The sequence below is a fragment of the Homo sapiens genome, chromosome 13 (genome assembly GCF_000001405.40).
Source record: "Homo sapiens chromosome 13, GRCh38.p14 Primary Assembly".
Lineage (NCBI taxonomy): Eukaryota > Metazoa > Chordata > Mammalia > Primates > Hominidae > Homo > Homo sapiens.
This window is the reverse complement of record NC_000013.11, coordinates 31,252,258-31,267,312: the sequence shown is the minus strand read 5'-3', so window position 1 is coordinate 31,267,312 and position 15,055 is coordinate 31,252,258. Positions and strand designations below refer to the sequence as shown.

The 15,055-nt window shown below is 40.4% G+C and overlaps 1 protein-coding gene across 6 annotated transcripts in view; it reads right to left on the bottom strand.

The window, feature by feature from the left end:
* B3GLCT (beta 3-glucosyltransferase) overlaps positions 1-15,055 on the bottom strand; it is a 132,302-nt gene that overhangs the window by 64,964 nt on the left and 52,283 nt on the right. For all 6 annotated transcript variants that reach the window (NM_194318.4, XM_011534936.2, XM_047430111.1 and 3 more), the window contains one exon: positions 6,231-6,367. In NM_194318.4, the coding sequence (NP_919299.3) occupies positions 6,231-6,367 (137 nt within the window). The remainder of the gene's footprint in view (positions 1-6,230; positions 6,368-15,055) is intronic.

The following is a 15,055-nucleotide window of genomic DNA, read 5'->3' as shown; positions in this document are numbered from 1 at the left end:
GCTTATTGCCACAGGCAAGGAACACCAAGTTGTGATTAGAATACAAGAGGCATGTGACCTCCACTGTTAGATGGCAATGTTTCATAGGCCCCTTCATAACAGTCAGTAAACACCTTAGTACTGTTACCTTAAACATGCTCTCCATCTTTTTGGCTTTTCAAGTTTCTTTCTCATTCAATCCTTGAAAATTCTTTTTCTTTGAGGGAAACCTCAGAAGGGGAAAAAGTGAAAACCACTGATAGAATTTCTGAGAGTGGCTCATGCCTGTAATCCCAGCACTTTGGGAGGCTGAGGCGTGGGGATCATCTGAGGTCAGGAGTTCAAGACCAGCCTGGCCAACAAGGTGAAACCCCGTCTCTACTAAAAATACAAAAATTAGTCAAGCATGGTGGTGCATGCCTGTAATCCCAGCTACTCAGGAGGCTGAGGCAGGAGAATTGCTTGAACTCGGGAAGTAGAGGTTGCAGTGAGCCAAGATCATGCCACTGCACTCCATCCTGGGCAACAGAACAAGACTCCATCTCAAAAAATAAAAATAAAAAAGAATTTCTGAGACAGAGAAGGACTGATGAGAGGACAAATGAATATATACATGGCTATCTTTCAGTGGCAATCTCTTGCAGCCCACAGAGTGTACCACAACCTCAATATCACAGACTTCTAGTGGAAGAGTTAGCCTCACGTGCCATCTCAGGCCTATGTCAGTCATCCAGTCACCTTGCAAACAAGTTCAAGTTCTAAGAGTGTGCAGGGTGACCAACTAACTTAAAAGGCAATACCTAATAGTGGTAACTGGATTTCAGTTTTCTATACACCAAGCAAGATAACAGGTTTTTCCAATGCTAGTTTCAGTAACCAACAATACCAAAAAACCAATGAAAGCCAGAAATTCCAGTTACTTAGATGAAATGTTTCCTCATTAAATATTCAGTTCCTGGAAAACACGAAGTTTGGTACTTAGCTTTCCTAATTTTTAGAATTATTGGGCCGGGTGTGGTGGCTCATGCCTGTAATCCCAGTACTTTGGGAGGCTGAGGTGGGCGGATCACGAGGTTGGGAGGCCAAGGCGGGCAAAACATGAGGTCAGGAGATCGAGGCCATCCTGGCTAACACGGTGAAACCCCGTCTCTACTAAAAACACAAAAATATTAGGCGGGTGTGGTGGCGGGCACCTGCAGTCCCAGCTACTCGGGAGGCTGAGGCAGGAGAATGGCGTGAACCCGGGGGTGGAACTTGCAGTGAGCGAGACTGCGCCACTGTACTCCAGCCTGGGCGACAGAGCGAGACTCCGTTTCAAAAAAAAAAAAGAAGTTAAGTCATGCCCCCAATAGCACAGTTCTAATGACACAACCACCTAGGCTACAGATGTGCAAATGACTGAGGGTCCTTTCAACTCAATACCTAGCTGACTTTTTCAATTCTACTTCCTAGCTGACTTTTTCAGTCCCACTTCCTAGCTAACTTTTTCAGTCCCACTTCCAGGCTAACTTTTTCAGTCCCACTTGTGAATCAGTCAACAGAGCCACCTGCTGAAGGAAATCTCGATAAGGTTTGCTGGTGGAAAAACAATGGAGAAAACCAGAAACAGTGTCCTGGAATGACATATATTTGAAGAAATCATCTTATTGGTAGTTAATGAAAATTTCTCCAAAAATGAAAGTATTGTTTTAATTGATCAAATGGATGGACTGCCAGGAAATATTAGGCAGTGTGAACTCAAAACTGATGTGGAATTGTTAGGCCAAATAAAATTTTGGTTGGAAACAGTCTAAGAAAGTGTGTCTCATGAGCTATCTTTAGGTAACCAGTTGTCCTGGGGACTAGGACAGAAGAAACACCTAAGTAACTGTAAGTTGTTACGCTACCTACAATGTGGGCCGTAAAGTCAAGGAAAGGACACAAAGGGAATCAACATTCCTGGACTGGCCTTCTTGGTTGTCTATATAATACAGAGTTTCCCCTTCATTCTTTCTAAACAAATTCTGGTTTTGATTAATATTGAGCCCAACAATTATACAGGCTCCAGAGTCAGAGATTGATTACTCTGGGCCAGCCAGAATAATCAATGAAATTCCCTGGCAACTGTTAATACTCTGGGGATTAGAACTGAAAATTCTAATAATTCTAATAATCAATGAAATTCCTGCGCAACTGTTAATAGTCTGGAGATTAGAACACACATGCAGTTGGCCCAACCAGACTGAGGACAAGCACTTACCATTCATGGTTGGGAACAGGCTATCTACTATTGGATGCAAACAGGAAATATGTAGCCCTTATTGTCTTGAAACCACAAGAGGAACCAGATTTAGGATAAATGGATTCTGTGTACTATAGGCTAGAGGGACAGAGAAAGTGTGGGTCCTCAATGATATTGATAAACTGCTAGATCAACCAACCACAGACCTCACCCCAATTACAGCAAAAGTATTTCCTTAATCCAGTTTGAGTTGCTTCCTATTACTTGCATCCAAAAGCATGCTAATTGATATAGCTAATAATAATAGGAAGAAATAAAGTCAGCACATTAGCTTTGAATTGGGAAAACAACAACTAGGAAGATCCAATGTTGCAGCTGATGGGGCTAATGAATACTTTATCCTTCCTTTAGTCCTGAGTATAATACCAGTTTCTTGAAGAATAAATAAGAATCCCCACTAGAAAGCCATTTTAAAATATATCTTGACCACAAGATAGTTGCTATGCTAGATGGGTTATATCATTTGCTTGATTACTTGTTGGCATCGGGGGAAAGGAAATATGATCTAAGGTAAGTAGAATTTTAAATATGGCATTATGGTAGAGTCTGCATATTTATTTTGCTTTTTTTTCCTGGCAGAGGAAAGGGAGAGGAGGTAGGGAGAAGACCATGGATATCAATGAACTATACACATTCTACGGTTTGTTGGTCACTGTTGAGCGTTGTGACGAGCAGATGACACACCATGCAGAAGGCTATCTGGTGCCTCACTCCTCTATCATACTGGAGTCACGGGGAAGTGCTGGGAATTTCCTGAGCTTTGTGGAAAAGATTAACCTCTTGGCTTTAATTCCCTTAGTCATAGTTCCCTATTACTATGGTCTGAATGTTTGTGTCCCCTCTCAAATTCATAGGCTGAAGTCCTACCCCTCAAGGCAATGTTATTAGGAGGCAGGGTCTTTGGGAGGTGATGAGGCCATGGGGAGGGAACTCTCATGAATGGGACTGCACCCCTATAAAAAAGACCCCTCGTCCCTTCTCCCAGATGAGGGGACACAGCAAGAAGGAAAGGAACCAGAAAACTGGCACTCACCAGACACTGAATCTGCCAGCGCCTTATCTTGGACTTCCAGCCTCCAGAACTATAAGAAATAAACTGCTGTCGTTTATAAGCTACCTGGTTTATGGCATTTTTTTATAGCAGCCCAAACAGACTAAGATGCCTACACACCCTGCTGCAGTGACAAGGCCCTCAGTTCTCACTCCTAAATATGGTTAAACTTGACTAGAAAGGGAGATGTGAAACCGCTATGGAAGCTGGGCACTGGCTACCTTCCCTTGTCAACAGATGTGTTCAATGATCTCACAAACACAATGGGGAAGGGAATCATGGACCTGTGGTCTCCTGTGGGACTACCTTGCAAAATGCCAGATAATCCAGAACATACAGTCGCCCCTTAATAAAGCTAACATCTCAGCTAGTGCACAACCTGCAACCCTGGTTCATGAACCCCTGGAAGCTAGTCATGTGGTGAGCATGAGACAGTAATGAGGTGAGCACTAGCCAGAGCCAACAAAGCCTGCCAGTGCTCTGGGTGCTGCTACACTTGATGAGCAGTGAAGCAGAGGACAGAGGTTTCCTAGAACAGGTTATACTTAATGCCAGCATGTCAGCCATAAGAGTTAGGTTGAACTGCCCTATATAGGGATGCCAGGAGTCAAAAATGTGTTCAAACAGGATCACTTCCATCAACCTGCACCTGGTTCAGACAGTAAGTCAAAGGAAGCAAGAATAAATAGTTACTTCTAACACCTAATTCAACAAAAACGGAATTGAATTCAGCATCAAGAGGTCTCCAAGAAAGTCTTGCTAAAGGAAGACAGGAAATTGTGATGGGAAGAAGGAAGGTAAAACTCTAGACTATAAGGATTTGCCTTCAGGATGAGAGGCCTCCTGGATCAGAAGGCAGTGATGAAGAAAAGAGCTACACTGGCTTCAAGGAAATGATTACACCCCCGCTTGCCATATAGCTCTACCTGGGCCCACTGGTTTCCTCTTTAGCCCTGGAGGAAGAAGAACCTGCTGCACTTAACAGCACTTTACAGGGCAGGCAAGAGCTGTGTTTGTTCCTCTCTCAAGGGACTTCATAGCACATGGGAAATGGGAGAGAAACAGGCTTATACAGAGGTTATAAGTCCCAAGTCAGAAAAATCACAGCCACGTGGGACTTCTCCCATGGAGAAGTCAGACCAAATCTTTCTATACTATAAAACTAAGTAGAGATCAAATGAGGAAGGCTAGAGGAAGCCTCCTGTGGCCGAGGATGAGAAGAATACTTGAGGAAGGGAAAAGGAACAGTGGCTCAGCCTACAAAGTGCAGGTCACAGCTTCTATTCATTAAGAGTCCAGACTCAACAAAGGTGGCTAAACTGGCCCCAAACATAAGGCTGCTGGACACTGCAGGAAATGAATGTCCTGGGAGCTCCTGGTCCTCAAGCTGTAGCAAACCAAAGTGTATTTAATTTGAGAAGAAACACGACCCAAGGCTGCTGAAGGGCAGAACATATTCCCCTCTCCCCTGCAGAGCACAGAATTAAGCAGACCAGTAGACGGTGAGAAGGGAATGACCACTACTTCTTCTTGTCTTCACTCCTCTTCCTCCTTGACCCTTCTAAGAATGAAGGGAGGGAAACTGTGCAGATGCTCTTAGGCATGCTTGGCAGGGGCCGGGAGATGGGCATTCTTGCCCGGCAGGCCCAGGACTGAGTGCGTGAGTCGAAGATCTTAACTGGAAACAAACAAAAATAATCCACTCTGGCTAGTTAAAGCATAACGTACATTTATTAAAGCATATAGATGGCTCATGGAATTACTGGAAAGTCTGAGTAAACAGACTGTAAGCTGAGATTCCAAGAACCCCCAGATTTGTACCACAGAAATCAGCAGCGTAGGAGCTTCAGACTCTGCCATCATCAGGAAGCCGCTGTCAACTGCAAACGACTCTTCCTTTGCTACGAGTCTCAATTCAAATGGTCCCCCATGCTTTGTCTCCTTCCCCACACAATTCAGTTCCCAAAAATAATTGTACATAACACATCTACCTGATGGAACCTACAACATACGGCTGCTTCCTAGTAGCAAGGAAAGCTAGGAAACACAGGGGGTTTTGTTGTTGTTGTTTGGATTCTACCCTGGAAAGGAGGGTATCACACTGTAGAGAACTTTGAAATGTGAAAGGAGTAGTCAAGAAGTTTTGTCCAGCTGTGAATGACAAGGTATGTAATATCCTGTATATCTACAATGGGCTAATAAGATTTTCAAGACCCCAAATCCTAGAGACAGGACACTTAATGATAGAAACTCTTTCATCTCTGAAGATATAAAAGCCACAAGTGCTTTATCAACTTTCCATTCCCTAAAGAACAAAAACATAATGATTAATCTGAAGGGCTTGTCAACAACCATACTTCTCCTGAATTACAATTTAACTATCTTCACTTTCCACATCTAACAGAGCACCATTGTGAATATACACACAAATAGCTAGGTATGACGACCTATAGTACCTTCCACTAGCTGTCCCTCCTGACTGGCCAGTGTTTAAGTATGCATACCCATGCACCTAATGAGTCATCAACTCTCAACCCCAGCAAGTTACTGCTTCATTTTCTTACTGGTGATCAAAGTTACACCTATAGCTAAGTAGATCCCTTAACAACAGTAATGATGCTCCCATGTGCATGGTTCTCAGAGCAATTCTGTGTTCTCCCTTAGTCTCACAACTTGTTATCTTTGGATGAGTGAGAAGAAATACAGAGAGGTTGAATGATTTGTCTGAAGGGTCTAGTAAATGACAGCGCTGAAGCAGAAACCCTCAAGCATCTGGCTCCTTTTCCAGATCTTACCACACACTGCCTCTGGCTGAAAAACTCATTTGAGATCCTGAGATCCATCAGTTACAGTACTCAATGAAATTAAAGTTGATGCACACCCCTCCCGCCCCCCGAAAAAATTCCAATAAATTCTTACTTGTTTACAAGTGGAATACTTAAGGCCCAGCCTGCAGCAAAGTCTGGATACTTAAAAACTGTAGGATTCTCGGAAAAGGCATAATGGTGAATTATTGTAGCTTCTTCATCATGTAATGCTTTTCCCAAAAACCATTCCTGTTAAATAAAGATATAACATGTCACTTTAAAAACAATCATTTCATGTAAGACCAATAGAAGGTGGTACTATTGGTTTCAGATAATTAAATATTTTGGGTGATAAAGAGTTATTAGCACAGATTAAATATTTCTAGAGAATGTGAACAAAAATATAATTAACACTAGTATGATAATGAATATAAGCTTTGTATACAAAAAAGTAGTTCAAGATCTGATCATCAAGATGAACAAAATGTTAGTCCTCATTATACCATAAATGTATAAAAGTTGTATTTTATAGAATATTCCATATAAAAAGACTATTAGGGCAAAGAAAATAGTATGCCCTTATACCCTACTGAGGTTTTCAAAGAATAATTTGAAAAATTCCTTTCAGAATCAGTGATTATTTATTTATTTACTCATTCATTCAAATGATTTTTATTGAGAATCTACCACACACCAGGCAGGAACATAGCTTACCCTAGAGTGGAGAAATGGAAATTAAGAAAGTAAATCAAATAACTTCAGGTAGTGACTGAAATGTGCTAGGATGAAAATAAATCAGGGTGACTAGGAGCTGCCCTGAAAAGAGAGGGAAATCTATTATGATGTAACAAACTGAGATGAAATAATATCAAGGAGCTGGACCTATGCAAAAATCTGTTAGTCATCTAATGAAGACTAGCATTTTGTTCATCCTCAGTAGCAAACTGAGATGAAATAATATCAAAGAGCCAGCTCTATGCAAAAATCTGAGGAAGAGCCGTCAAAGGACTTAATGCAAAGTCCCTGAGGTGGGAAAAAGTTTGATACAGTCAATGAAAAAAGAAATCCAGTGGCTGGAGCTACTGGGTGTGGGAATAAGGTACAAAAGAGACAGGCAAAAGGCTGACCAGGGTGAGTTTTATGTGCCAGGGGAAAGGAGCACAGACTTTATTCTAAGTGTAACGAAAGACTTCCACTTCTGACCACAATAGAACAATCTGGATTGCATCTACTCTCCTGTTGAGAACAAGTTTAAAAGCTGGAGAAATTACACAAAGCAAATGATTGAAGCCATCAGAAAACAAACCTGCACGTTGTACACATGTACCCTAAAACTTAAAGTATAGTAATAATAAAATTAAAAAAAAAACAGAAAACAACAAAGGCAGAAAGGACATAAAGGACTAAGATCTCAGAATTAGAAAGCCCATCCATGGGAGCCCCTCCTTTCCTCAAGGAGTTTGCTGATTCCTGGAGCTGCAGATAGCACACAGCCAAAAGCAGCAGCTGGGGGCTCTTGCAGCCTTGCTGGACTGAAAGGCGGAGTCTGGAGCTGGAGACCTTGAAAGAGAAGAGATGTAAGGGGGTCCCAAGATGCCGCATGCAAGTTTCCCTCAATGACCTAAGCTGCACAAAAACCAAGGGGGGAAAAAAAGAACCAAGCAGAAAGCAGCAGTGGAGAGGCTAAAAAGCTGAGCAAAGCCTTTAGCAGTACTGTAGTGCCGGGAGATCAAGGTTGGAGTTCAGACTGCCAGGACAAAATGGCTCTGGAGTAAGGGCAGTCTATGAATAGACGTACCCAAACAACATCTACAACCCAGAAGATTAAATCCTTCTATAGGAAGTCCTATCATCCATAGCCTTCTTAATTTTTCACATAAAACATCTGAGATTTAGCCAAACTCACCCAGCAGAGCAAGAAACAAGACCAAACCAGAAACAAGAAAAGTGAAAAATAGAAGGAGATGCACAGATAAAACAGATTTTGCAGTTATCAAATAAGACTTTTAAACAGCTATGGTTAATGTGTTCTTTAAGGATAAAAAGATTTTTTAAATTGCACCAAAGAACTACAATTTATAAACAAGAGCCAAATGAAAAATCTAAAACTTAATGAAAGAACTGAAGTTAGTAATTCAAAAAAATATTAAACACAATAGCAGAGAAGACTAACAGTCTGGAAAGCAAGTCCGGTAAAAAATATCCAGACTGATATAAGAAAAAAAAGGGAAGAAAAGAGCTATGGCAATATGAGACAAAAGGAAAAGGGCTAAAATGCATGACATTAGAAACTAAGGAGAGACAGAATGAAACTGAAGGAATACTTGAAGAATACAGGCTTAGAATTTTCCAAAACTAACAAAAGTCATCAAGTTGTAGACTCAGGAAGCTCTATAAACTCCGGTGAGAACAAATACAAAGAAAATCACACATAGGCACATAATGGTAACACTGTTGAAAATTAAAGATAGAGAATATCCTAAAAGCAGCTGGCAGCAGGGGAAGTCATAGAGGGAGACAGTATACATGTTTTTTTCAAATAAACAGAAACAAGATATACAGTTGAGTTTTCAACAGAAATGATGAGAGGGGAAAGACAATGGTGGAGCATTTGTACAGTAATGGAAGAAAATTGCTCCCAACTCAGAATGCTATACCCAGCAAAAATATCTTAGGTGGAATGGGAAACCACTGAAACAGGAGGATCTAATAATGGTCAAGGCAGGAGATGATGATAGCCTGAAACAGCGTAGTAGTATTAAATATGGAGAGAAGATGGACAGGAGATATATTTTGGAAGTAGAACCAGCTGGTCATGCCAACATGAAGTTGAAGAAAAAAAGATGAACCAATCTCAAGTCTTAGGTTTTTAATATGAGCAACCAGATAGACAGTTACAGTGATGCATTTCTGGATGAGGAAGATTGAAGACGGAAGAGGTTTAGAAAGGCATTGAGAGTTCAGTTTTGAACATGTCGAGTTTTAGGTTCCTATTAGATAAGCAACAGTATGAAGTAGGCAGCTTAACATAAGAGAGTACATGGCTGACTCCCTCAGTTCCTTCACTCTGTTCAAATGTGACCTGATGAATGAGGTATTCCTTGAACACCCTATATAGACAGGTAAGCCCATTCCCAATGCATCCCTTACTCCCTTATTCTGCTTTGTTCTTCTCCACGGCACTTGTTACCATCCGACACATTATACATTTGCATTTTTCTCTATTGCTTATCTCCCCTGAAACAAGAACATCATCTCCTTGTGGGCAGGGATGTTGTCCATTTTGTTCACTGCTATATCTCCAGTACACCTAACATGTAATAGATGCACAGTAACTTTTTGTCAAATGAATGCAGCAAGTCCAGGAAAGATTTAAAAAGCAACTCGCCTCTACTGAAGAAACTAGAGCATACAATATGAATCAAGTACCCTAAGTTCTAAAAGTTTTGTATATTTTCTCTTACCCAACCAAGACCACCTCACTCTCTATTATTTATCAGAATATAAAATCAAGAAGACACCATACATGAGTACTCTTAGGTATTTCTTAAGAGCCTTATTCTGCTTGTGGTTGTATTGCAAATTCCTCCCACAGTCCTACTTTTCCTCAATTCAGCAACAGGTCATAACTGAACATATGTGACAGCTGTTAACTTTTACATCTAACATTAAAAATGTATTTAGATTCACAGATCCATATGATGACTTTCTTCTTGATACTTTGCCTATGGGTATATTAAATCATTACTGGGTAAGAAGAATACCCTGTAACAACCAAGACAAATGACCTCAGCTTGAGATGAAAAATACAACACCTTAAAAAAAAATCTATAATAAAGCTCTTTATCAAGTGACTAAACCTTAACCAATATGAAAATCACTGTATTTTACATACCATGCCAATATAGCTTGTATAAAGAAAATAAACATCTCAGTATATTTTGAAAACTGTCTTACAAATCTTTCACTATTAAAACCTTTCACGATTAAAACCTCTGGTTGCAAATACAGTTTTATGGAAAACATGTTGTTATGTTTTATCTCTTAATTGCAGTATTCAGCTATTATATAGTATATGATTGTTTTTCAATATTTTTGTGTGGGTTATACTGTAAACTACTTTTAAAAAAATTATTATAGAATCTATGCATAGAGCCACTCCCCAATCTTTCTTAATGACTTTATTAATGATTTCATTAAAAGGACAATTATAATCAAGAAAAACCTTAAAAGAATAACTCAGTGTTCCACTAGCATCTTAGAATTATTGCTTTTTTTTTTTTAAGTTCTGGGGTACATGTACAGAAAGCACAGTTTTGTTACATAGATATACATGTGCCATGGTGGTTTGCTGCACCCATCAACCTGTCATCTACATTAGGTATTTCTCCTAATGCTATCCCTCCCTAAGCCCCCCACCGCCCACAAGGCTCTGGTGTGTGATGTTCCCCTCCCTGTGTCCATGTGTTCTCATTGATTAACTCCCACTTATGAGTGAGAACATGTGGTGTTTGGTTTTCTGTTCTTGTGTTAGTTTGCTGAGAATGATGGCTTCCAGCTTCATCCATGGCCCTGCAAAGGACATGAACTCGTCCTTTTTTATGGCTGCATAGTATTCCATGGTGTATATGTGCCACATTTTCTTTATCCAGTCTATCACTGATGAGCATTTGGATTGGTTCCAAGTCTTTGCTATTGTGAACAGTGCCACAATAAACATATGTGTGCATGTATCTTTATAGTAGAATGATTTATAATCCTTTGGGTATATACCCAGTAATGGGATTGCTGGGTCAAATCGTATTTCTAGATCCTTGAGGAATCGCCACACTGTCTTCCACAATGGTTGAACTAATTTACACTCCCACCAACAGTGTAAAAGCATTCCCACTTCTCCACATCCTCTCCAGCATCTGTTGTTTCCTTTTTAATGATCGCCATTCTAACTGGCATGAGATGGTACCTCATTGTAATTTTGATTTGCATTTCTCTAATAACCAGTGATGATGAACTTTTTTTTCATATGTTTTTGGCTGCATAAATGTCTTGAGAATTGTCTGTTCACATCCTCTGCCTACTTTTTGATGGCGTTCTTTCTCGTAAATTTGTTTAAGTTCTTTGTAGATTCTAGATATTAGCCCTTTGTCAGATGGATAGATTGCAAAAATTTTCTCCCATTCTGTAGGTTGCATGTTTGGTCTGATGATAGTTTCTTTTGCTGTGCAGAAGCTCTTTAGTTTAATCAGATGCCATCTGTCAATTTTGGCTTTTGTTGCCATTGCTTTCGGTGTTTTCGTCATGAAGTCTTTGCCCATGCCTATGTCCTGAATGGTATTGCCTAGGTTTTCTTCTGAGGTTTTTATGGTTTTAGGTCTCACATCTAAGTCTTTAATCCATTTTAATTTTTTCATAAGGTGTAAGAAAGGGATCCAGTTTCAGCCTTCTGCATATGCCCAGCCAGTTTTCAAAACACCATTTATTAAATAGGGAATCCTTTCCCTATTGCTTTCATCAGGTTTGTCAAAGATCAGATGGTTGTAGATGTGTGGTGTTACTTCTGAAGCCTCTGTTCTGTTCCATTGGTCTATATATCTGGTTTTGGTACCAGTACCATGCTGTTTTTGTTACTGTAGCCTTGTAGTATAGTTTGAAGTCAGGTAGCATGATGCCTCCAGCTTTGTTCTTTTTGCTTAGCATTGTCTTGGCTATGTGGACTCTTTTTTTATTCCACATGAAATTTAAAGTAGTTTTTTCCAATTCTGTGAAGAAAGTCAATGGTAGCTTGATGAGGATAGCACTGAATCTATAAATTACCTTGGTCAGTATGGCCATTTTCACAATACTGATTCTTCCTATCCATGAGCATGGAATGTTTTTCCATTTGTTTGTGTCCTCTCTTATTTCCTTAAGCAGTGGTTTGTAGTTCTGCTTGAAGAGGCCCTTCACATCCCTTGTAAGTTGTATTCCTATGTATTTTATTCTCTTTGTAGCAACTGTGAATGGGAGTTCATTCATGATTTGGCTCTCTGTCTGTTATTGGTGTATAGGAACGCTTGTGATTTCTGCACTTGATTTTGTATCCCGAGACTTTGCTGAAGTTGCTTATCAGCTTAAGGAGCTTTTGAGATGATGGGGTTTTCTTTTTTTTTTTTTTTTTGAGACAGCGTCTTTGCACTGTCACCTGGGCGGGAGTGCAGTGGCGCCATCTCAGCTCACTGCAACCTCCGCCTCCCGGCTTCAAGCGATTCTCCTGCCTCAGCCTCCCGAGTAGCTGGGATTATGGGCACCCACCACTATGCCCAGCTAATTTTTTGTATTTTTAGTAGAGACGGGGTTTTACTGGTCTCAAACTCCTGACCTTGTGATCCACCCACCTCGGCCTCCCAAAGTGCTGGGATTACAGGTGTGAGTCCCTGCACCTGGCCACTATGGGGTTTTCTAAATATACAATCGTGTCATCTGCAAACAGAGACAATTTGACTTCCTCTTTTCCTAATTGAATGCCCTTTATTTCTTTCTCTTGCCTGATTGCCCTGGCCAGAACTTCCAATACCATGTTGAATAAGAGTGGTGAGGAAGAGCATCCTTGTCTTGTGCCAGTTTTCAAAGGGAATGCTTCCAGTTTTTGCCCATTCAGTATGATATTGGCTGTGGGTTTGTCATAAATAGTTCTTATTATTTTGAGATAGTTCCATCAATGCCAAGTTTATTGAGAGTTTTTAGCATGAAGGGCTGTTGAATTTTGTCAAAGGCCTTTTCTGCATCTATTGAGATAATCATGTGGTTCTGTATATGTGATGGATTACATTTATTGATTTGCATATGTTGAGCCAGCCTTGCATCCCAGGGATGAAGCCAACTTGATCGTGGTGGATAAGTTTTTTGATGTGCTGCCGGATTCGATTTGCCAGCATTGAGGATCTTCGCATTGATGTTCATCAGGGACATTGGCCTGAAATTTTCTCTTTTTATTGTTGTGTCTCTGCCAGGTTTTGGTATCAGGATGATGCTGGCCTCATAAAATGAGTTAGGGAGGATTCCCTCTTTTTCTATTGTTTGGAGTAGTTTCAGAAGGAATGGTACCAGCTCCTCTTTGTAACTCTGGTAGAATTCAGCTGTGAATCTGTCTGGTCCCGGACTTTTTTTGTTTGGTAGGCTATTAATTACTGCCTCAATTACAGAACTTGCTATTGGTCTATTCAGGGATTCGACTTCTTCTTGGTTTAGTCTTGCATGTGTCCAGGAATTTATCCATTTTTTCTAGATTTTCTAGTTTATTTGCATAGAGTTGTTTATAGTATTCTCTGATAGTAGTTTGTATTTCTGTGGGATTGGTGGTGATATCCCCTTTATCATTTTTTATTGCATCTATTTGATTCTTCTCTCTTTTCTTCTTTATTAGTCTGGCTAGCAGTCTATCAATTTTGTTGATCTTTTCAAAAAACCAGCTCCTGGATTCATTGATTTTTTTTGAAGGGTTTTTTTGTATCTCTATCTCCTTCAGTTCTGCTCTGATCTTAGTTATTTCTTGCCTTCTGTTAGCTTTTGAATTTGCTTGCTCTTGCTTCTCTAGTTTTTTTTTTTTTTTTTTTTTTTTTTGAGATGGAGTCTCACTCTGTCACCCAGGCTGGAGTGCAGTGGCACAATCTCAGACAACTGCTGCAAGCTCCACCTGCCGGGTTCACGCCATTCTCCTGCCTCAGCCTCCCGAGTAGCTGGGACTACAGGCACCCGCCACCACGCCCAGCTAATTTTTTTTGCACTTTTAGTAGAGACGGGGTTTCATCATGCTAGCCAGGATGGTCTCAATCTCCCGACCTCGTGATCCACCCACCTTGGCCTCCCAAAGTGCTAGGATTACAGGCATGAGCCACCGCACCCGGTCTTCTCTATTCTTTTAATTGTGATGTTAGAGTGTCGATTTTCGATCTTTCCTGCCTTCTCTTGTGGGCATTTAGTGCTATAGATTTCCCTCTACACACTTCTTTAAATGTGTCCCAGAGAGTCTGGTATGTTGTGCGTTTGTTCTCATTGGTTTCAAAGGACATCTTTATTTCTGCTTTCGTTTCGTTATTTACCCAGTAGTCATTCAGGAGCAGGTTGTTCAGTTTCCACATAGTTGTGCGGTTTTGAGTGAGTTTCTTAGTCCTGAGTTCTAATTTGATTGCACTGTGGTCTGAGAGACTGTTTGTTATGATTTCCGTTCTTTTGCATTTGCTGAGGAGTGTTTTACTTCCAATTATGTGGTCAATTTTAGAATAAGAGTGATGTGTTGCTGAGAAGAATGTATATTCTGTTGATTTGGGGTGGCGAGTTCTGTAGATGTCTGTTAGGTCTGCTTGGTCCAGAGCTGAGTTCAGGTCCTGGATATCCTTGTTAATTTTCTGTCTTGTTGATCTGTCTAATACTGACAGTGGGGTGTTAAAGTCTCCATTATTGTGTGGGAGTCTAAGTCTCTGTGTAGGTCTCTAAGAGCTTGCTTTATGAATCTGGGTGCTCCTGTATTGAGTGCATATATTTAGGACAGTTAGCTCTTCTTGTTGTGTTGATCCCTTTACCATTATGCAATGCCCTTCTTTGTCTCTTTTGATCTTTCTTGGTTTAAAGTCTGTTTTATCAGAGACTAGGATTGCAACCCCCGCTTTTTTTTTGGCCTTCCATTTGCTTGGTAAATCTTCCTCCATCCCTTTTTGAGCCTATGTGTGTCTTTGCACATGAGATGGGTCTCCCAAACACAGCACACTGATGGGTCTTAACTCTTTATCCAATTTGCCAGTCTGTGTCTTTTAACTGGAGCATTTAGCCCATTTACATTTAAGGTTAATATTGTTATGTGTAAATCTGATCCTGCCATTTTGATGCTAGCTGGTTATTTTGCCCCTTAGTTGATGCAGTTTCTTCATAGCATCAATGGTCTTTACAATTTGGTATGTTTTG